General features: G+C 46.8%; 1 long non-coding RNA gene, 3 pseudogenes, 1 gene segment (V, D, J or C) and 1 further gene, besides 2 other annotated features; 5 read left to right on the forward strand and 1 right to left on the reverse strand.

The window, feature by feature from the left end:
* Positions 1-23502, forward strand: part of IGL (immunoglobulin lambda locus) — an 896838-nt gene that overhangs the window by 360190 nt on the left and 513146 nt on the right.
* Positions 711-1280: an enhancer, noted in NCBI's record as "NANOG hESC enhancer chr22:22741343-22741913 (GRCh37/hg19 assembly coordinates)". NCBI's record gives its function as "activates a minimal SCP1, AML or CMV promoter by ChIP-STARR-seq in naive H9 embryonic stem cells {active_cell/tissue: H9 hESC(naive)}" and the evidence as "EXISTENCE:reporter gene assay evidence [ECO:0000049][PMID:30033119]".
* IGLV7-43 (immunoglobulin lambda variable 7-43) lies at positions 8787-9224 on the forward strand. The segment is given in 2 exon segments: positions 8787-8832; positions 8920-9224. Coding segments are annotated over 2 exon segments (351 nt in total).
* On the forward strand, positions 10767-11225 carry IGLVI-42 (immunoglobulin lambda variable (I)-42 (pseudogene); annotated as a pseudogene). Its single transcript is given in 2 exon segments — positions 10767-10811; positions 10935-11225. Coding segments are annotated over 2 exon segments (336 nt in total).
* On the forward strand, positions 12019-12317 carry IGLVVII-41-1 (immunoglobulin lambda variable (VII)-41-1 (pseudogene); annotated as a pseudogene). Its single transcript is given in 1 exon segment — positions 12019-12317. A coding segment is annotated over 1 exon segment (299 nt).
* Positions 16531-22932, reverse strand: LOC101929255 (uncharacterized). Of its 2 annotated transcripts, XR_007068016.1 has the most exons (4): positions 22550-22924; positions 21960-22420; positions 21272-21337; positions 16531-17183 (listed from the first exon to the last, which is right to left on the reverse strand). It is a non-coding gene; the product is annotated as an uncharacterized LOC101929255 (long non-coding RNA). The 2 variants fall into 2 exon arrangements; XR_938052.4 differs by having other exon boundaries at positions 21960-22932.
* IGLV1-41 (immunoglobulin lambda variable 1-41 (pseudogene)) lies at positions 17995-18456 on the forward strand (annotated as a pseudogene). The gene is given in 2 exon segments: positions 17995-18040; positions 18150-18456. Coding segments are annotated over 2 exon segments (353 nt in total).
* Positions 18551-18610: a silencer, noted in NCBI's record as "silent region_13526". NCBI's record gives its function as "represses an Ori minimal core promoter by ATAC-STARR-seq in GM12878 lymphoblastoid cells {active_cell/tissue: GM12878}" and the evidence as "EXISTENCE:reporter gene assay evidence [ECO:0000049][PMID:35858748]".

A 23502-nucleotide genomic window follows, 5' to 3' on the forward strand; every position in this document is an offset into this window, starting at 1 on the left:
AAAATGTCCAGGTGGCAATCTTAACTTCCAGTTTAATGGAATCATTGTTGTGTCTCCAGGTGGTAGTGTTCCTTCCTCTGGAAGTAAATCCTTTGAGCCAGCAGAACATAATGTCTCAGGAACAGGAAGGAAAACATTTGCTAGTGGATCACTAGGGTTGATGGTGAGTGGTGCCACTTCCACTTCCACCCCTTGATTCCTGGATCCATGAATCCTGGCTACGGGAGGGACAGTACCATATATTGGATGCTGATTTAAAGCATACACAGCCATCTGGAGAACTTTGCCCTGGCCCTGCAAAGTATTGTCACCTAGTTGGCAATGTAATTGTGACTTCAAAAGCCATTCCACTGTTCTATCAATCCAGCTGTTTCAGGATGATGGGGAACATGGTAAGACCAGTGAATTTTGTGAGCTTGAGCCCACTGCTGCACTTCTTTAGTCATAAAGTGAGAGCCTTTGTCAGAGCATTGCTGTGTGGAATATGATGACAGTGAATGAGGCATTCCAAGAGTACACGGATGGTAGTCTCATAGGCAAACCAATATCTAGGATAAGTGTCTATTTCAGTTAAGACAAACCTCTGCCCTTCCTGTGATGGAAGAGGTCTGTTGTATTTCTCCTCACACAGGGCACCAGTTGAGATATTGCTCCTCAGAAGACAGCATTAGCTGCGGGGGTCTGCCTGCAGACCCTGACTCAAACGACGGATGAATAAAAACGGACACTGACACACAGATATTCTGTTTGGCCAGTCCGGCTGGGTTCTTTGATTCTGAGTGTCCGACAACATACACACCAGGAGAGGTTTGTCACTGTGGTGGGTCCTGAGCAGCTGGTACTCCAGGCATTTATTTAGTATACAATTAACAACAGAAGCTTTGAGTAAACACACTTGTGGATAATTAACATGGTTAAGAGAGTAGTTCTACGAATGACTAAAGCTCAGTACCCTGGTCTAAAGTAAATACCATTACGGGGCAATATCCCTGGTTGACCTCCCACCGAGAGGGCCATCTGGCTCAAAGGTTAGTTAATGGAGATAGGGTAAACAGGCTTAACTGGGAAAGCCTCCATTGTCCCTAGCATTTACCCTATGACCTAATGCTCTAAGGTAAGAACCAGCTGCCTTCAGCCTGTACAATTATTACAAGCTATGTAACATTTTAGCCTTCCAAAATGTTTGTGATTATTCCCTATAACTTTCCCTAATATTTCCCTTTGATATTTCTGCCACCATCCTGAGTGAATCCCAACAGAGGTCCAATATAATCAACCTGCCACCAGGTAGCTGGCTGATAACCCTAAGGAATGGTGCCACATCGAGGGCTCAGTGTTGGTCTCTGCTGCTGGCAAATTGGGCACTCAGCAGTGGCTGTAGCTAGGTCAGCCTTGGAGAGTGGAAGTCCATGTTGATGAGCCCATGTGTAACCTCCATTCCTGCCAGCATGGCCACTTCCCTCATGGGCCCATTGGGCGATGACAGGGGTGGCTGGGGAAAGAGGATGCGTGGTGTTCACAGAACTGGTCATACTCTCCTCTTGATTATTAAAATCCTCCTCTGCTGAGGTCACCCGTTGGTGAGCGCTCACATGGGATACAAATACTTTCACAGTTTTTGACCACTCAGAGAGGTCCATCCACATATCTTTTCCCCAAATTTCTTTGTCATCAATTTTCCAATCATACTTCTTCCTAGTCCCTGTGACAGTTACTACAGGACAGAATGAAGGGGGACTAACACAGAAATGAAGACAAAGACAAAGGGATCTGTTTTAAAGAAGGGGTCAGGGGGCTCCTTGCTTCTAGTGAGCAAGGGCCCTGAGCTACTGCAATCCTTCATATTTATTAGGTAGAAAGAACAGGGAGGAGGAGTTAACAGTTGGTCAGCTGCTTGATTTATCACAGGTTCACAGGATTGCTTTCTTTATACAACATACTTCAGATGTGCTGCAGATAATCAAAAGAAACACTGTGCTTGGGGCGTGACAGCTCTCAGCATTCGTTCTGGTGGTAGATGCAGTTTGTCGTTTGCCAACAACCTGCATTCATGAGAACAGCTTGCTGTTTGCTCCAGTGGTATACTGAGTTGGTCACAACCCTCATTCTTTCGGCCTCCAAGAAGTCCCTGATTGTCCAGCCAAACCGTTGGCTACAGCAAATAAATTCATATATAATCACACATCTGGAGATTTCTCCTTCCATGCAAAGAGCACAACCAGGTGTGCTCCTCAAAGTTCTGCCCAATGGGAAGATTTCCCTTCACCGCTGTACTTCAGGGATGTCCTGGAAAGGGGCTGTAGTGCTGCAGCTGTCCACTTTCCGGTGGTGCCTGCATATCATGCAGATACATTTGTGAACCAGGCCCTAGTCTTCTTTCTGTCAGCTGATCATAGTGAACTGCCCCTGAGACCACCAGTGCAGGCTGGGGGATAGTGCAGGCTGGTGGCAGGAGTGGAGGTCATGGACATTTGAGCCACTTCCCCATGTAATTTACTTGTGCCTTCAGCCCAAATACGTATATACCACTTCCACTGAATGATGGAATGCTGCTGTGCATGATCCACTTTATGGCTAAATGGGTTAGAAAGCACCCACTTCATGACAGGCAGTTCAGGTTGCATGGGGACTTTAAGACGCATAGTCAAATGTTCAGTTTCCACCAAAGCCCAGTAATAGGCCAAGAGCTGTCTCTCAAAAAGAGAGTAGCTACCTGCAGAAGATGGCAGGGCCTTGCACCAAAATCCTAGAGGCCTCCACTGTGATTCACTTACAGTGGCCTGACAAAGACTCCAAGTAGCTTTGCTATCTGCCGCTGACACCCAAATACCACTGGGTCTGTTGGGTCATACGGCCCAAGTGGCAGAGCAGCTTGCACAGCAGCCTGGACCTGTTGCAGAGCCTTCTCCTGTTCTGAATCCCACTCAAACCTGGCAGCCTTTTGGGTTACTTGATAAATGGACTGGAGTAACACACCCAAATTAGAGATATGTTGCCTCCAAAATCCAAATAGGCCCACTAGCCATTGTGCCTTTCTTGGTTGTAGGAGGGGCTAAATGCAGCAACTTATCCTTCACCTTAGAAGGAATGCCTCGACAGGCCCTACACCACTGGACACCTAGAAATTTTATTGAGGTAGAATGCCCTTGAATTTTAGTTGGATTTACCGCCCATCCTCTTGCATGCAAATGTCTCACCAGTAAGTCCACTGTGTTTGCTACTTCTTGCTCACTGGATGCAACCAGCACAATGTCATCAATTTAATGGGTCAGTGTTATATCTTGCAAAAGAGACAAGCAATCAAAATTTCTTTGAATAAGATTATAACACACAGCTGGAGAGCTCATATACCCCTGAGGTAGGACCGTAAAAGTATATTGCTGGCCTTGCCTGCTGAACGCAAATTGCTTCTGGTGGGCCTTATGGACCGGAATGGAGAAAAAGGCATTTTCCAAGTCAATGGCTGCATATGAGGTGCCAGGAGATGCATTAATTTGCTCAAGCAAGGAAACCACATCTGGTACAGCAGCTGCGATTGGAGTCACCACTTGGTTAAACTTCCGATAATCCACTATAATTCTCCAAGATCCATCTATCTTCTGCACAGGCCAAATGGGAGTGTTGAAAGGGGATGTTGTGAGAATCACCACCCCTGCATTTTTCAAGTCCTTGATGGTATCACTAATCTCTGCAATCCCTCCACAGATGCAATATTGTGGGTTTATTTTTTTTTAATAAAGTTTCACTCTGTTGCCCAGGCTAAACTACGATGGCAGAATCATGGCTCACTGAAACCTCCATCTCTGGTTTCAAGCAATTCTCCTGCCTCAGCCTCCCAAGTAGCTGGGATTACAGGTATGTACCATCACACCCCACTAATTTTTTGTATTTAGTGTAGATGAGGTTTCACCATGTTGGTCAGGCTGGTCTCGAACTCCTGACCTCAGGTGAGGTGATCCACACTAAGATCCAGCTTATGTGGATCTTTTCTCTTCTTTTCTTGGTTAATCTCACTAGTGGTATATATAATTTTATTTATCTTGTCTAAGAATTGGTTTTTGTTTCATTTATCTTTTCTATCATTTTTTTGTTTGAATTTTATTTAGTTCTGGTCTGATATTGCTATTTCCTCTCTTCTGCTGGGTTTGGGTTTGCATTGTTCTTGATTCTCCATTTCCATGAGGTGTAACCTTAGATTGTCTATTTGTGCTCTTTCAGACTTTGTGATGTACGTATTTAATTCTAAACATTCCTCATAGCACTGCTTTTGCTGTATCCCAGAGGTTTTGATAGGTTTTATCAAGATTTAGTACAACTGCAACCTTACTATTGGCCAACGGCTTTTGAATTCCTAAGAGTGTGACCTCATTTAATCCTGACAACAGCTTTATGATTGCTTTTCATTCAGTAGGTCGTGATTAGAGAGGGAGTGCTTGTGGCCTGGATGGAAGGTTCTCCAGTTTATCAAATAAAAACACCGAAGGTCAGTTAAATTTGAATTCAGTAAAACAATGACAAAGAATTAGTATGTGTAACTCCCACACAATATTGTTCATTTGAGATACAAACTTACCTTGTAGTTCATCTGCCAACTGCACACAGGGTTCAAAGCCTGGAAGAGGCAGAGTTAGAGCTGGTCTTCTCTTCCTGATGCCAGGTCTATGAGCTGAACCTCAAAGACAGGGCTTCTCTAACACAGCTACCCTCAAGTAAGCACATCGGTTAGCACTAAATACACAGTATACGATGCCCAATCAATAATGCCTACTCACTTTTCTAATTCTTCTTTCTATTATTCTTCAAATCTGCAGACTCAAGACCTCCCGAAACATTGCGGCAGCCAGGATTTTGAATGAGGGTCCTCATATGTCTTTCCAAACAAGATGCAAGGGTGCTCCTTGGTCCCTACACAGAGGGGCTTAAGCCAGGAGTGCATAAGTAACATGTAAGAGACAGAAGAACTCAACCTGTCTCTCCCTCTGTGCAGTGAAACACCTAATTCCAGGGTTCTTTGATTCTGAAGGTGGGTGGGCTGAGAGAAAGAGGAGCCCCACCCTGAGAGCTCCGAGTATTCAGGACAAGACTTGGCAGCCTGAATAGGGGCTATACTCTTGAGTGTGGAAGAAGCAGGCATCTCTGGGGCACAGGCTGCTCTTCTGGTGGCTTCTCCTTCACCAAACTGGGCTCCCTGCTGTGATGTCTATCAGAGAATCTCCTTCAGTAAGACCAAGATTCCAGGATTTAACTAAAAATAGCAGCACAGACCAGAAAGGTATGTCATGGTACTTGAATTCTGTGCAGAGCAATAAGTACAAATGCAGCTTAACAGGGGCCTTCACAGTTGTATCTTTGGTGAAGGAGAAAATAGACAATGGCAGGGAGAAACTGAAGGACTCAGTAGGTCTGGAACTGGGGCAGCACTGGGTGCTATAAGCTTGTCCTTCAGGGGTCTACAGATGCTGACACCTGGGAAGTCATCCTGCATCATCTGCTCACTGCTCACTGGGCTCAGCAGCTATGTCCTCACAAATAACCAGATTCAATCAACCTGGCCTTCTCCACCCAACCTGGGGAATGTATTCCAGTGACTGTTTCAACTGAGGTTCTATGAAGGGGTTGGGGGATAAGAAGAGGGGACTGATTTGCTTGAAGAAACCATTGCACATCCTTTCCTTTCATCTAAAACCTATTAATGGAAACTCTGAGGCCACCCATAGAAGTCTAGCTGGTCTTCTAAATTTGGGAGTTACGAAGGAGTCATTCCTGATCAATCTACAGGATAAGGGGCCATCAGCAGCTGGTGGTCAGAGTGAGGGAGAAACTGGCTTCCTTGAGAGACTCATCAGCACAGCCACCAACTCTGGGGAAAATGGGGCACTTGCTATAACAGTCACCCCAAACTACTCACAGGAGCCTGAGCCTCGTCCCCTCACCTTATTGTTTCTGATTCTGGTCCATGCCTCTGTTTTCCCTGGACCCCTCGCCCATGTCTGAGTCCAGGGTAGCAGGGGTAGTTCCATCCCAGTCAACATCTATACAGAAGTAACAGCTGCTATGGCTTGAAGCCGAGTCTACAGTTCTACCCATGAGGGCCTCTTTTTCTCCCCAATCCCCTCACACAGGTGACCAGTGCTGTGGGTCTGGTGGAGTGGCCACTGGCCACTGGTCCCAGGCGAACACAAAGTATTTATTCCTCTCTAACACCAGGCATATATTGGAGGGGGTTTGGTGGGTGTAGAACAGAGTGGTTCTTCCAGATGCAAAGCAGTAAGACCCTGTCTACAGAAAGTCATTTCACAAACCTCCACACCCTTTCATGATAAAAACGCTCAGTGAACTATGAATACAAAGAAACTACCCTAACATAGTAAAAGCTATCTATGAAAATCCCACAGTCAACATCATACATAATCTTAAAGACCAAAGATATGTTTTTGTAATATCAGGAACATAGCAACAATGTACACTTTCACTGCTTCTATTCAAAACAGTATTGAAAGTCCTAGCCATAGCAATAAGGCAAGAGAAATAAATAAACAGGATAACAATTAGAAATAAAAAGTAAAACTATCTCTGTTTTCAATGGATTTAATGTCATATGTAGAATACCCTTAAAAGTTCCACAAAACAGCTTTTGTCAGAATGATTAAATGTATTCTGTAATGTTCAGAATACAAAATCACCATGTAAAAACATCTCATGGCTGGGCATGGTGAATCACGCCTATAATCCTGGCACTTTGAGAGGCTGAGGTGGGAGGATTACTTGGGATCAAGAGTTCAAGGACAGCCTGGGCTACAAAGCAAGAGCCTGTCTCAAGAAGAAAAAAGAAAGAAAGAGAGAAACAAAGAAAGAGATAGAAAGAAAGAAAGAAAGAAAGAAAGAAAGAAAGAAAGAAAGAAGAAAGAAAATCTCTTATATTTCAATACTTAGAAAATCTCTTATATTTCAATATTTAAACAAGGACACAGGAAAAAACCCAAAACAAAATTAATAAAACAAATCAAATTTCAACATCATTAGAGAGAGTAAAATATGGCTGGGCACAGTAGCTCATGCCTGCAATCTCAGCATTTTGGGAGGCTGATTTGGACGGATCATCTGAGGTTAGAAGTTCAAGACCAGCCTCAACAATATGGTAAAGCCTCGTTCCTACAAGATAAAATAAAATAAAATTGCTAGCTGTGGTGGCACATGCCTGTAATCCCAGCTACTCAGGGGTCCAAGTCACAAGAATTGCTTCAGCCTAGGAGGGACAGGTTGCAGTGAGCCAAGATCTTGCCACTGTACTCCAGCCTGGGTGACAGTGAGACATTGTCTCAAAGAAACAAATAAATAAAAATGAAACAGTAAAATACTTAAGAATAAAGTTATTCAAAGAGGTGAAAGACTTGTAGATTGAAAAGTATAAAACATTACTAAAAGAAATTAAAGAATACACAAATAAATGGAAAGAAATCCTTTGTTCGTATACTGGAAAACTCAGTATTGTTATGCTAGCAAAACAAACCAGGAGGAATTGACAGATTCATTTCAATCTCTGAAAACATTCCAGTAATATTTTATGCAAGAATAGAAAAAAATTAAACCTAAAATTTATATAGAGTATGAAGGGAACCTAAACAGTCAAAGTCATCTTGTAAAAGAAGACCAGTGTTGGAGGTCTCACACTTTCTGATTTCAAAACATACTACAAAGCTACACTAATCAAAACAGAGTGGTATATATGTAACATACATACTGACAAATAAAATAGAACTGAGTGCCTAGAAAAAAAACTCTTAGTTATACAGTCAAATAATTTTAAACAAGGTTGTCAAGACTTTTCAGTGGAAACAGTACAGTCTTTCACAAATATAGACGTTCTGGGAAATAATACTGAATGGCTTTTGCTGTTGTTGTTTTTGAATGGTCTCAAATGTTCTCTCAAAGATGCTACAGAACATAGCTTATTGATTTTGTAAGTTAAAAGGCTGAGTAAGACTGTGAGAGACTCCCTGCTCATCATCATTCTTCTTCCACTTCCAGTGACTACTCTTATATTCTGTGCCATAAGCCAACAGCTACTGACCCCAGGATCTTTTAATCCTTCTGTAAAACTGTCATTAAAAAAAAATTGTCTAAAGTAAATTTTTTAAAAAATTCTCACTTAAACCAGCTGTTTATCCAATATAAGGCTCAACACAAATAGTTACAGAAAGCCAGTAGGTCATTAAAACAATTAATTTAGTCATTCAAATAAAAATGAACACCATGTAACACTAATATCAAATTATAGTCACAGGGGCAGAATTTCAGCAACAGCAAGAGAAAGTAGCACAAATAGGAATGAGCAAAGAATAGACAATTAATGAGTGTGAATTGGCCTGGAAAATATTGTGGCAATGTCCAAAGATAAATCCACAGTTATTTGTGAAACAAGTGAAAGACCACGCATTCTCAGTCCAGGAAAGCCACCAGGGGGTGGTCTGGGTCTCTTGGACTGTAAGAAGCTCAAGAGGTCCAAACTTCATGAACCCTGCACAGGTGCTCATTGACTCATGTAAATGTTAGAGCAGCTGCTTCCTCCCACAGGACAAATCCACAGCACACAGCCTCCCTGGGCTGGCCCCTCACAGTGTAGCTGCTCTCAGGCCTGTGGACCCAGGTGGTGATAAAGGCAGTAAAGATTTGCATAAAGCAGCACACAGCACACCCCCTCCATGGAGAGAGCTCAATAGGAGATAAAGAGCCATCAGAATCCAGCCCCAGCTCTGGCGCCAGGGGTCCCTTCCAATATCAGCACCATGGCCTGGACTCCTCTCTTTCTGTTCCTCCTCACTTGCTGCCCAGGTTAAGAGAGATTTCAAATACCAGCCTTTGGAGGGATCCTTCTGTCTGCCCTTCTAATTTCTAACATGTGTCTGTTTTTTGTTTCAGGGTCCAATTCTCAGACTGTGGTGACTCAGGAGCCCTCACTGACTGTGTCCCCAGGAGGGACAGTCACTCTCACCTGTGCTTCCAGCACTGGAGCAGTCACCAGTGGTTACTATCCAAACTGGTTCCAGCAGAAACCTGGACAAGCACCCAGGGCACTGATTTATAGTACAAGCAACAAACACTCCTGGACCCCTGCCCGGTTCTCAGGCTCCCTCCTTGGGGGCAAAGCTGCCCTGACACTGTCAGGTGTGCAGCCTGAGGACGAGGCTGAGTATTACTGCCTGCTCTACTATGGTGGTGCTCAGCACAGTGACAGACTCATAAGAGGAACCAAGACATAAACCTCCCTCGGCCCTTGTGATGTGGAGATTGTGTGATCATACACACCAGCTCTCAAGACAGCCTACATGTGGACCAGCCATAGAAAGGGGAAGGAAAGGGTCTGAATTGATTTCTATCCCTCCTTGTGCCCTGAAGTGGAGGAAATGTGAGAGTGATTTGCAGTAATTGAATGAGACAAAGCAAAAGTTATTTGTTTTATATGAAAAAAAAAAACCAGAAACAGCAGGATCAGATCTAAAGGCTGAGTCTAAATGCATTTCCTCCAGACAGAAGCTTCTTCAAACGATGGGCTTTCTGAGCTAAGAGCAAAGAAAATAAACTCTCCATGGGTATATTATTAAAGTTTATTTTATTGAGTTACTTTCAAAGCAATCCATGACTATTATATAAAGTCAGAAAGTATTAAAAATCACCAAGTTCTCTGCTAAGCTACCTTATCCCATGCAATCAAAATAAGTACTTTTCTTCATTTGGATGCATTTTTTATTTCTGTTTTTAATATTTCCACAATGGTGATTAAACCTGGTGCTCATTCCTCTGGTTTGATCCACCTTTATGCTCTTGTCATTTAAAGTTAATGTAAGTAGTGTTCCATTTATTTAAAAGGATAAAATATTTTAATAGTTGATCATTGCATTTTGAACTGAGTACCAGTGAAGTATTCTAGCTTTTAGGTAATTTCAATTGTTTGCTAGTCAATGATGTTATACGTTGTTGTCATTAAACCATTCCTGGTCATTTCTGTGGATTTTGTGAGGTCAGAGAAAATGTCTGTGCTTTTCAATGGAAAGCCTTGGGTACATTATTCCTGACTTCCCAATGCACAAAATAGAGAAACACAAATTTCCTGCTCATGTTAGTTAGAGCATAAGAGATTCAGGTACGAGGAACAATTTATACCCCAAACTACATACAGTGTCTTCAGGCATGTATTAGAAGTGTACTTCTCAAACTCTCTGATACCCTTAGTTCTGAAGAAGCTCAAAGTTGGCTAATACTTTTATATTTATCTTTTTATTTTTTTTACCTCAGCCAGCACTTTCTCCTGATTCCTGGGGTTTTCTGCATTTCCAGTGAATCCAGTGAATCACACAAATAGGCTAACTGATTCTTCCCAAACTCCAGCACTCTCCCTTATGTGCTGATCTAGTGAGGAATCACATGGGAAGAGAGACCCATGGATTTCTGGCGGCCTGGGAAGTGAGTTCATGGCTGGCCTCAGCTTGCAAACCAGACACTTGTCTCCTTGTTTCCCTTTACTGTTCATTGGGTTCAGCAGCTGTGTCCTTCCAGGTTTCCTGGACAGTGATGGACCACACTCTCCCAACTCCCAACCACCCGCTCCTCAAAAAGAATAACCAGACTCAGCAACTTATGTGAGGGGCACAGCCAGGGGTCAGGATAGATTGGCATTAAGTCCCCTCAATTAAGAGAGGCCAGGGAAGGGGGGCTGTTCCCCCTAATCCGTGTGGCTCAGGAAGCAGAGCTCTAGAGACATCTCTACCATGGCCTGCACCCCCTCCTCCTCACCCTCCTCAGTCGCGGCACAGGTGGCTGGAGACAGGGAGTCAGGGACTGGCACTGGCAGGACCAGGGCTCTGCTTTGCTCCCCTGGCTCACTGAGCTGCCTCCCTCACCCTGTGTCTCTCTCCCGACTCTCAGGGTCCCGGGCAATCATGGCTCATCAGGTAACCTGCACCGTCTGTCTGTGGCTAAACCAGCCACCATCTCCTGAACTGGAAGCAGCAGCAATAAGGTTCTTGGAATTGTGACCTGGTGCCAACAATGACCAGGAAGTGCCTCCAAGCTTCTGACTCATAGAAGTAAATATCTGCCCGCAGGGATTCAGGACAGACGCTCAGGCTACCAGTCTTGCATGAAGCCCTTCCTAAGCATCTCTGGGCTTTAGGCTGAGGACAAGGCTGATCACTCCTGTTGGCTTCAGACAGCCCCCTGGAGGTCCAAACAGTGCTGCAGTCTGGGAAAGTGAGATGAGAACACGCCAGGTCTCCTAGGAGCATGACCTTCCAATGGCACCACCCACAACCAGGACAGCTGGTCTGTTTACCATTTGTGTGGATGTTTCTTGATGCTGCCGCTAACCAGGGCCCAAGACTTAGTTCGGGGACAGTGATCTAGAGAATACAGCTTTGTTCTCTCACAGCCAGCCCTCAGAGGAAGCCCTTAGCAACAGCATTGTCAGACTGCCTCAAAAAAATCAGAGTCTTTGATTCCAGGAACAGGCTGCCCTGGGGACAGACTCAAGATGAGTCAGGGTAAGCAGGGACAGAATCCAGCTGGGTCTGCCTCAGGCATGTGCACTAACGCAAAGGTCTGTTCATCCTTATTGTCTACTAAACACCTATTATGTGCCAGTCTCAGGAGAGTGCTCAGGATACAGAGTTTACAAGACAGACAGGGTTCCTGTCTTTACAGGGATAATGCCTCACAGAAGAGTGAGCACCAACAAATCAATGAGAATAAGGCATATTGTGAGGTATAAAATGGTTGACATGGGCCAGAAGACAGTGAGCAACAAGAAGCTATTAGGAGGTTGTAAGCAAGGAGATACAGACTCTGGTTTGAGATTCAGGAGGCAAAGTCCAGCTTCTCTAAGGAAGATGAAAAAGGAGGGGACAGAGTGAAGAAAGATGGTCCAGTTAGGACATGGTGGCTTTGTACACATGAGAGATGAGGTTTCTGGCAAGTAATGTGGCAGCTGAGCTGAGGCCTGTGCTGTGGATCCCAGACGGGAGCCACCTGCTAGGCCTAGGCTGGAGCCCTCTGCCTCTGCTCACGAGGACCAGCAGCTGTGTCCTTACAGGTCCTTAGGGAGCCACAGAACAGCCCCACCCTGGTCCACCCCATCCCAGGCTCAGCTTTCTAGGCAAGGGTCAGAGTCAGGGCCTAGGGTGGGACTTGGCCAGCCCAGGGGAGGAGGCTGGTGTGCATGAAGAGACCCTCCTTCATCCTGGGCTGCTGGCGAAAGTAATAGGGACTGGGGGAGCTCAAGCCCAGCTGAGTGTCATCAGGATGCAGAGCTGTGTGTGGGTCCCCACCAAGGCCTGAGCTCCTCCCTTTCTCCCCCTTCTCATTCACTGCACAGGTAACTAGGGCTAGGGATCAGGGCTGTGGGTGAATGGAACGAGGACCCTGCATGCTGCCCTCTCAACTGACCCACCTCTCTCACCCTCTGTTAGTCCAGGTGTCAAGGTTCTGGGCCCAGTCTGTGCTGACTCAGTGGTGTGAAGAGTTCCTGTGGGTGGGGTAAACTGCCGCCATCTATCACACTTGAAGCAGAAGCAAGGCTGGGTGTGGGCCTGTGTCCTGGTATCAGCAGTGTCCCCAAACTCCTCATCTATGACAGCAGTCATTGGTCTGCACAGGTCCCAGCGAAGTTCTCAGGTCCCAGGTTGGGGATCATGGCATCCCTGAGCATCTCTGGGCTCCAGGCAGAGAATGAGGCTGATTCTTTCGCTCATCTTGAGACCCAAGGATCCATGATTAGGCAGTGCTGCAGGCCAGTGGGTAGCTGGGAGGAAAACCTTCTGTCTCCCCAGTAATGTGTCTTCCCTCTTCAGCCTCCACCCCTTCAGCACAAGTTTCTGGGGAGGAGGGTCTGAAGCCCGGGTGAGAAAAAGGGTCAAGGCTGGCCTTAGGACCTGGATGGGCACAGTGACCCCCTGCTGAGAGGGCCTTCATGAGCAAGAAGGCTGGGGGAGGTCCTGAGTTGATTTTTACAATGGAAACAGACACCAGCTCCCCATCCTTGTTCAAAAGCATCTCAGGACCTTTTCCTCTGCAGATGGCAAGGGGGAGAATCTCCCTCTGAGATACATGAGAATTCCCTTCCCATGACCTGTCCTGTCACCTGGATGAATTCGTATTTGGAAACCAAATGACTCCCCAGTGCCAGGCATTACATCCTCACAGAAAACCTGCCAGAATGAGCAAGATCTTCCCTCCCTGACCCACTGGCCAGGAATCTCGGACATCAGGATGGCTGGACTAGATCACTCATGCCATCTCCCCTGACATCATCATGGTTACCGGGGGGACTCTCTGATTAATTTGGGCCACACAGTGCCTGTCCCTGGCATTGCAGTTGGGGACGCTTACAGGCTAAGTTTATGGCTGGGAGACCTAGGGTCTAGAAAGGAGAGGAATAGAACAGAAGCTTTGCCTACATGGCCCCCTGTGTGCATCACTCTTCCCTCCACCTTTATCCTAAGTTCATGATGGGTGATGTCTCCTTGAGGCTGGAACCTGGGCAGTGACATGGGCCTGTGTGTCCTCATCTCACAATGCTTCATCTTGGGCTCCCTGACCTTTCTGATATTCCTATAATGGATCAATTTCAGGCTAGGACACAGCCATGCCCATACAGGAGGCAGTGATCTGAGAATCAGGTAGTCTTAGAAGAGACAGAAAGCAAATAAACACCCTCATGTTGGCCTCCTAAGCCCAGAGGACATAAGGAAATGAAAGGAATTCAAGAAGAAACATAAATGGTCACTGCCCACCATCACCTGGGCACCTGTTCTCCACCTGCCCCTCTCTCAGTGAGGACCAGACTCAGAGGCCTAGAGAAACACGTCTTCATCTGTTCACACCGTGGGGTGCCTCCTTCTGGACTCATCCCAAGACTGCTGCTCCCCCAGCTTACCTGTGTAACTGCTGAGAGTCTTCACAGGGACCTGGTCACAGGGTTTGGGATCAGGATCAGCCTGGCTTTAACTCAGCTGTGACCCTGCCCCTTCAGGACAAAAAGTGAACTATTAGGGCTCTAACTGAACTCTCCTGATTTACTTAAATCTTATATTCTCCTTCTCAATATCCTTCTAGGAAGTTCTGTCTCTACCCAATAATGTCAGGTCATTTCCTCAGGCCTAGAGCCATTTGATTTCCAGACTTCTATACTCACACTTATGCTCTCATTCTCTGTCATGGTTCATTTACTACGCAGCAGCTAATGAGGCCAACCATGTATCTACAGCCCATTGACATGAAAAATGGGGAGGAGAGGGTTCCTTAGATAAATACAGGGTTAGCAAAGGAAAGTTTCTTAGGAATCACTTCAGGATCCAAGAAAATTCATTCCAGAGCTTCGAGAGTTTACAACTCAAAAACAACAGCATAATATATGAGGTGGTGAATCTTCTTGGCCTTCTCAATGAATAACCTCAGAAATGGTCAGAGAATATGCTTCAAAAAGGTAAGAGTATGACTTTCACAAACATATAGTATTCACATATGTCAACAATTTTAATTGGTTTATGTATTTTGGAGAAAAACAGTATGATGATAAATAAATGTTAAAAAGCATTTTTAAAAACTCAGTGCTTATACTCCACCAGGATAGAACCTGTGAAGGAAATTTCTGTGTTGAAGATACACTGTCTTTTAGAATAATAGCAACATAGCTATGAATTTTGTCTTCTCATCTCACAATCTACAAATTAAAATCACCCCATTTATGTGAAATATCTAGAAAAATACAGGTACATTTGGACATTCCCATCTGCCACCACCCATCCATCTTCTCCTAAAGTGGAATCCCTCTGCCCCCATTCTGCTCCTCTCCACACATCTACCTGCTAACACGTGACTCCTCCCTGCCTTCCTTTCCAGATCCCTAGCAGATTGGGCCCACCAGGGGAACAAGCTCTTGGACCTGGGGATCAAAAGTGCATCTTGTTGGACTTCTGAGGACTTGCCCTGCAAGGGTCTCTTTCTGGATCACAATCCCTCTGTTCCTGGGCATCCCCTTTTGCTGGATCCTGTTATTTATCTCTGTGTTACTCCATCTAGGTCTACTCTGTGGACTTCCCTGCATCTTCACCTGAACCCCAGGAATCTTCAAGTCATGCCAATATTCCCTCAGTTCTCCTGAAATGTCTTATTTTCTCTTCTCCTGAGATCCCACCAAGTCATCCCTTCTGAGACCCCTGAGTGTAGCAGGGCCCTCTCTGGTCTCTTTGCTTCAATTATGAATGAGGAGAATGGGAGGTCCTCTTTGCCGCTCCTACCCCTGTGTTGCCATCAGGATCAGCTTCATGAGGCAGAATGAGGCTGTCTAGATCAACATGGCTTTCCCAACATTGAGCTCTGTGCCCAGCACAAGGTAGGTGCTCAGTAACTATTTGAGAAAACCTACATTTCATCACACTGGCCACATTACACTGAGTCCAGGATGGGGATGAACTGGGAGAAGCAGTGGTGGAAATATTCCTCTCTCTGCTTTCAGGCTAAGAACTGATGGGACGTTCACCAGGGAGAGCATCCCTTGGCAGAAAGGGGGCCATGGGCATCCTTGTCCTGTATGGGAGACACTGCTCAGCCTGGGGGAACCTCTGTTCATGAAGGTGGGAGAAAAAGATAAACAAAATTCACTGTGAATGTCTATGTATCATCACAGAGGAGGCAATGACAAGAAAATAGGAAGTGCAAGCCCAGTTACAATTGGTTTCTACTTTAAAAGAAATAAAATTTAATATGCCTGGTGTGTTATGTAAACACAACAAACATTTTTCGAAAACTATAAAAATATTTAAAGTAACATGGTTTACAATAAATAGGAACATTTGAAATAATGACACCCTGGAAATGCAATCCTAAAATACAGCATACATTTTATTTCAGTTATTTATCTTGACTGGTTTTATTTAAATGTCTATATTAGAGATCACTACTTCATTGTGGATTTTTGTTTGTGTGCTTGTTTGTTGTTTTTGAGATAGAGTCTAGCTCTGTCACCCAGGCTGGAGTGCAGTAGCACAATCTCGACTTATTGCAGTCTCCAGCTCCCAGGTTCAAGCACTTCTCCTGCCTCAGCCTCCCACGCACCTGGGACCACAGGTGCGCACCAGTATGCCTGGCTAATTTTTGTGTTTTTAGTAGAGATGGGGTTTCTTTTTTTTTTTTTTTTTTTTTTTTTGAGACCGAGTCTTCCTCTGTTGCCAGGCTGAAGTTCAGTGGCGCAATCTCGGTACACTGCAACCTCTGCCTCCCAGGTTTAAGCAATTGTCCTGCCTCAGCCTTCTGAGTAGCTGGGACTACAGGCACCCGCCACCATGCCCAGCTAATTTTCACATTTTTAATAGAGATGGGATTTCACCATGTTGCCCAGGATGGTCTTGATCTCTTGACCTCGTGATCCGCCCACCTTGGCCTCCCAAAGTGCTGGGATTACAGGCGTGAGCCACTGCACCCGGCCTAAGATGGGGTTTCATCATGTTGACCAGGATGGTCTCAAACTCCTGACCTCAAGTGATCCACTCACCTCAGCCTCCCAAAGTGCTGGGATGACAGGCGTGAGCCACAGTGCTCGACCTAGTACATTGTTTAAATGGTGCATGTAAAACCTCATGGTACTACAACTGCCTGGTGACAGACTCACCAGAGTAAATAACTATCCTGCTGTTCTCCAACCACATGGGATTGCCCCAAAAAATATTTGTTGAATCCCAGGTGTATCATGCCAGAACTCTTGCAGTCATATATACAATCTGTTTCATTTTAATAAATAGGATTATCTTTTTTCTTCAGTTTACTGTTTTTAATGTATCATATTCTAGATTTCATTACACATCAAAGATGAATAATTTCTATCATCTTTCAGACATGCCCAAAACACTCATTAGCGATTTTGAACAGTATTCTTTCCTAAACATCCTAGTTGGAATGGTTGATCCTAAAAGCTACCACGTGTCAGGCTCACTTAAGTACAGACTCTGGTCAAAACAAGCTGAAGTTTTAACTCTTCCATCTTCAAATACTGAGCATATTTGCTTGTTTTGCTCTTTAGCAAAACACTGCAAAGTCATTTGCCAGGATCCCCCGCAGATTGGCATTCAGTGATGGAGAACAGACTCCTAGGTGAGATCCCTGGTCACAGGATCCCGATGACTATGACTGCAAGTCTGGAAAAGAAGAGACAGAACAAAGATTTACCAGCATAACCCTCTGAGAATGTGCCCCAGGCATCCCGGAGGGAAGAGCTCCCTATCGACCCAGGACTGCAGAATCCACAGAGGAAGGAGAGCTCTGGCCACCAGGGAGCAGCCACACGAGAGGAGAGGACCCAGTGCCCCCACAGGTGAGGAAATGAGTCCATGGGGCTGGTCACTGCTCTCGATTTCATTCTGACATAAGAGGACTTTGTGTAGTCACCACCTGAGTCCTATACAGTGAACAGCCAAGGAGACATGGACAGATTCACCCCTGAGGAACCCAGTAGAATGTGAAGTCTGCCCTGAGCTCACGAAAAAAATGACTCAGGGGGCTGCCTGGCCTGGCCCTGATGGAGGGGGCCATGGACAGAACAACGGGGAGTGAGGGGTGTCTCTGAGAGGCTCTGGTCACCTTGTTATACAATGGTGGTGTACATGACCAAAATGGACACCAGGGGATGCCTGCGTACCATTACTGAGAAGACTGGGTGTGATGAGAGCAGGACCAGCGCCACCTGTCCTGCTTGGTGCCCTATGCTTAGGGCTTACAGATGTCAACTCTGCACCCCCTGGGACCACATAGCCCCACCCCTGGCACTCTCTGACATCCTCAGGCAGAGGAGCCTGACCCAGGGCCCAAGGTGGGATCAGAAAGCTGGAGGGTCTGATTTGCATGGATGGACCCTCCTTCTCTCAGAGTATAAAGAGGGGCAGGGAGAGACTTGGGGAAGCTCTGCTTCAGCTGTGAGCACAGAAGGCAGGACTCGGGACAATCTTCATCATGACCTGCTCCCCTCTCCTCCTCACCCTTCTCATTCACTGCACAGGTGCCCAGACACAGGGTCAGGGGAGGGGTCCAGGAAGCCCATGAGGCCCTGCTTTCTCCTTCTCTCTCTAGACCAAGAATCACCGTGTCTGTGTCTCTCCTGCTTCCACGGTCCTGGGCCCAGTCTGTGTTGACGCAGCCGCCTTCAGTGTCTGCGGCCCCAGGACAGAAGGTCACCATCTCCTGCTCTGGAAGCAGCTCCGACATGGGGAATTATGCGGTATCCTGGTACCAGCAGCTCCCAGGAACAGCCCCCAAACTCCTCATCTATGAAAATAATAAGCGACCCTCAGGGATTCCTGACCGATTCTCTGGCTCCAAGTCTGGCACCTCAGCCACCCTGGGCATCACTGGCCTCTGGCCTGAGGACTAGGCCGATTATTACTGCTTAGCATGGGATACCAGCCTGAGAGCTTGCACAGTGCTCCAGGCCAATGGGGAACTGAGACAAGAACCCTCTTCCTCCTCCGCCAGGAGGGTGAGTGCCTGCAGCTGCTGCTCACACCTGACCTGTAGCTTCTGCTGCTGTAGCTTCCCCCATGGGCCTCGGGGCATCCAGGGCCTTGCCTAGGAGTGGAGGCTCCACCACTTTTGTCCTCAGAGTCAGGAACAGGGACCCCAGGAGACAGAATATCCTGCTCCTCAGCTTGGGACACAGGGTCTCTGCACTGAAATCGTGGGCTGAGGTGGCAGGTCCAACTGTGTCTTCACAGTCCTTCCTGTGCCTGCCCATGGTGTGGGGACGGAGTGAGGAAGTGTGGGCCATTGAGCTTCACTAGAGGCCTGAGGGAGCAGAGGTGCTCCCGAAGACCTGGACTCCTTCCGTCACCCTCCTCCCATCACTCTCCTCACTGTAGCTGTGGCCAGGTGAGGGCTCAGGGCTACTTGAGGACCTTGCTCAACCCAGGGCCTCCATCCCAGGCATTGTTTCCAAACTCTGTAAGGGCTGTCTCTGAATCTGTAGAAACATTTATTTCTATGTGCCCAGGACTGGGTTAGAGGGCACCAACCCCACCCCTTGCAAACTGCTCATCACCTCTCAGTGAAACAATGAGGAGAAGAAAGAGTTAGAAATCAGAAGCCTCCCCAAGGCTCCCCTCTCTCCTCTCAACCAGCCTCCCCTTGGCTTCCTCCTTCCACAGAAATAAAGAGGAGGCAGCCACAGAAGGCAAGGGAAGGTCCAGGCATTATACCAGGCAGTGGAGCCAGCCAGTCCCCCCAGATGGTGGAGGGAGGTGGTGGAGGTGTCTGGGACCAGAAAATAGTGAGGACCCTCTTACTAAAGTGAGGAGGGGTGGCATAAACTGAGGCTCAGATGGTGGACCAGATCTCCTGAGCCATCTACTCATTTCTTCTTGAGTTTCAGTTTCAGTAAGAATAGGATAAAAAAAAAGTCTGAAGAGGTTCCTTTCCTCAGATAAGAATTCGTAGAGGATTATTGCCCACTCAGGCATTGAGGGGAGGCTGAGCCTCCCTCTCAGGCCAATAGAACTGGGGGCTTTCATGGGAATTTGATTGTACTGAAGCTCCCAGACTCTGACATCTAAGACTTATGCTCTCGTAGCAGAGCCCAGCACTGATACCAAAATGGATAAAGGCTGATTGATAAGCCTGGAATATCCTAGCTGACACCGACTTGTGGAAAAGAGAATCAAGTTAGAATATTGATGTGATAAGGTGGCATCGCACAGTGAGGAGAGGAGAGCTTGTGTGGGGGAGGGTAGAGGAGCCATTAGAGGGTTGGACAAAGAGGACACAGAATCTGAGGTAAGTTTGTGAGGAAAACTCCAGATGCTTCAGAGAAGATGGACAAGGAGGTAGGCAGTATGAAGGCCATGGGACCAGCTCTAGTCACCGGGAGTGAGTGGTGAGATTCAGCACCAGTGTCTGGGGAGGAGGTACTGAAGCCTGGGTGAGGGGAGATGCTCAAGGCTGGCCTTAGGACCTGAGTGGGGCACAGTGATCACACTGCTGGGGGGTCCTTCAAGTGCAAGGGGGCTGCAGGAAGGCTCGAGCTCATTGTCACAATGAAAACTTAGACAACAGCTCCCCAGACTTGTTCAAAGGTGTCACAGGACTTTTTCCTCTCCACATGGCAACGGGGAGAGGAAAACTTATCTCTGAGATATATAAGATGTTTGTTCTCCATAACCTCTCCTGTCCCCTGGCTGAATTCCTATTTGGAAACAAAATGACTCTCCAGTTTTACATATGACATCCTCACTAAAAAAAAAGTTCCAGAATGAGAAAGATCTGCCCTCCCTGACCCACTGGTGAGGAATCTCAGCCTTCAGGACAACCAGACGAAATCGTTCATGCCATCTCCCATGACAGCATCATGGGGACCAGGGAGCATATCTTATGGGTTTGGGCCACACACTGCCTGTCCCAAACATTGCAGCTGGGGACACTTATATGCTGAACTCATGGCTGGGAGATCTGGGGTCTAGACATGACAGGAAGAGGAAAAAGACCAGGAGCTCTGCCTAAGTAGCCCCAGTGTGTGAATCACTCTACCCTCCACCCTCAACTTCAGTTCGTGATGGGTGTTGTCTTGCGAAAACTGACAGCTGGGCTGGGACACAGGCAAGAGAGACTCTGACCCACAAATCTCCATCGTGGGCTCTCTGGCCTTTCTGATATTCTTTTTGCACATCAATTCTGGGCCAAGACACATCCATGCTCATCAAGAAGGCATTGATAGGAGAATCAGGTAGCCTCCAGAGAGACAGGAAGCAGATAAACACCCTCATGTTGGCCTCCTAAGCTCAGAGGAGAAAAAAAAGGGAAAGAAGTTCAAGAAGCCACACTAGAAGCCACTGATCACCATCACCTCGGCACCTGTCCTCCATCTGCCCCTCTTTCAAGTAAGGACCAGACTCAGGGGACAGCACCTGCACCTCCCTTTCTGTCCATGCACTGTGTAGGGAGCCTCCTTCTGCTCTCATCTCAAGGCGACTGCTCCGCCAGGTCAGCCGTGTCACTGCTGAGAGTCTTACCTCAGTCCTGGTCACAGGGTCTTGGATCAGCAGCAACCTGGCTTTGATTCAGCTGTGACCCTGCCCCTTCAGGACACAAAGCCGATGATTAAAGCCTAACTGAACTCTCCTAGATTTCTCAAACCTTAGATTCTCCTTCTCTGTGTCCCTCTAGAAAGTGCCACCTCTACCAAATAATTTCATGTTATTTCCTCAGGTCTAGAGCTATTTGATTACCAAAATTCTATACTCACTCTTCTGCTCTCATTCCTTGTCATGGTCCATTTTCCACTCAGGAGCTAATGATGCCAACCCTGTATCTACAGGCCATTGTCACAAAAAAAAAAAGAAATGAGAGGGTTCCTTAGATAAATACAGGGTTAGCAAAGAAAAGTTTCATTACCCCTTAGGAATTACTCCAAGATCTAAGAAAATTAATTCCAGAGCTTCAAGAGTTTACTCCTCAGAAACAACAGCATGAATACATTAGGTAGTGAATGTTCTTGGTCTTCTCAATGAATAACCTCTGAAAGGTTCAGAGTATACGTTTCAAAAAGATAAGTGCATAACTTTCACAAAAATGTAATCTTAACTTATGTCATCAATTTTAATTGGTATATATATTTCTGGAAAAAAAAGCAGTATGATGGTAAAAGAAATGTAAAAAAGCCTTTGTAAAACCCAGTGCTTACAGTCCACCAGGATAGCACCTGTGAAGCAAATTTTCTTTGCTGAAGATACACCGCCTTTTAGAATAATAGCAAGATAGTTTGAATTTGTCTTCTTCTCTCACAACAATCTAAAAATTAACATGATCCCATTTATATGAAATATCTAGAAATATATCTGTACATGTGGACATTCCCATCGCACACCTCCCATCCAGGCTGTCCTAAAGTGGCATCTCCTCTTCTTCTGCTCATGTTCTCCCCCTCTCCTCACCTCTCCTGCTGACACGTGGCTCCTCCCTGCCTTCCTCTCCAGTAGCCCCAGCAGATCAGGCCCAACCAGTCAACAAGCTCCTGGACTTGGGGAACAAAAGTACATCTTCTTGGATTTCTGAGGACTTGCCCTGCCAGGGTGTCTTTCTCAATCCAATCTCTCCTTCCCGGCAGTCCACTTCTCCTAGATCCTGTAATTTATCTAATCTTATTCATCTGTATCTACTTCGTGGACTTCCTTACATCTTCACCTGAACACCAGGAATCTTCAGGTCATGCCCATATGCCCTTGGTTCTCCTGTAGTCCCTTCTTCCTTCTTCCCCTGTGATGCCACCAAGTCGAAGTCTCTTCTCAGACCCTGGAGTGCAGCAGGGACTTCTCTGGTCTCTGCCCCAGGGATTAAGGGGGTGGAAGAGTGGACTCCTGTGCCCTTCCTATGCCTGTGTTTTCATCAGGGTTAGCTGCAAAAGGTAGGGATTAGGCTGTCTAGGTAGGGATTATGGCATTAGGTAGGGATTATGGCATTTCCAGAGCTGAGCTCTATGCCCAGCAAAAGATACGTGCTCAGCAACTACTTGACAGAGACCTACCTCTTATCACATGGGACACATTATACTGGACCCAGGATGGGGCTGAACTGGGAGAGGTAGCTGTGGACCTGCTCCTCGCTCTGCCCTCACCCTAAGAGCTGATGGGGCATCCACCAGGAAGAGCATTCCTGGGCAGGGAGAGGGCCATGAGCAGCCTTGTCCTGTATGTGAGACACAGCTCAGCCCGGTCACAAGATCCAGATGACTATGACTGCAATTCAGGGGAAGTAGAGAATGAAGATTGACCAGAATAACCCTCTGGGAATGTGCCCTGGGCCTCCTAGAGGGAAGAGCTTCCCTTCTATTCAGCGCTGCAGGATCCACAGAGGAAGGAGAGCCCTGGCCACCAGGGAGGAGCCACATGAGAGGACCCGGTGTCCCCACAAATGGGAACGTGAGTCCATGAAAGTCGGTCCCTGCTCTGGGTTTGATTGTGACCTATGAGGACATTGTGTAGTCACCACCTGAGTCCTCTACAATAAACAGTGAGAGCGCCACGGACAGATTCACTCCCGAGGAGCCCAGTAAAGTGGGAGGACTGAGGTCACAGGGAGAAGACACAGGCACCACCTGGCCTGGCCCTGACAGGGGGCAGTGGACAGAACAGTGCGGAGGCAGTGGGGTCTCTAGAGGCTCTGGTCACCTTGTCATACCATGGTTTGTCTCGGTCTGGACACTAGAGGGCACTTGGGGATCATTCCTGAGAAGACTGAGGTTGATCAGAGCAGAACCAGCCACCTGTCCTGCCTAGTGTCCTCTGCTCAGGGCTCACAGCTGCGTCCTTTACACCCGTGGGACCACACAGCCCCACCCCTGCCACCCCCTGACATCCTCAGGCATAGGGACCTGACCCAGGGCCCAGGGTGGGATTAGAAAGCTGGGGGTCTGATTTGCATGGATGGACCCTCCCACTCTCAGAGTATGAAGAGGGGCAGGGAGAGATTTGGGGAGGC

Source organism: Homo sapiens, chromosome 22, assembly GCF_000001405.40.
Source record: "Homo sapiens chromosome 22, GRCh38.p14 Primary Assembly".
In the NCBI taxonomy this organism is placed as follows: Eukaryota; Metazoa; Chordata; class Mammalia; order Primates; family Hominidae; genus Homo; species Homo sapiens.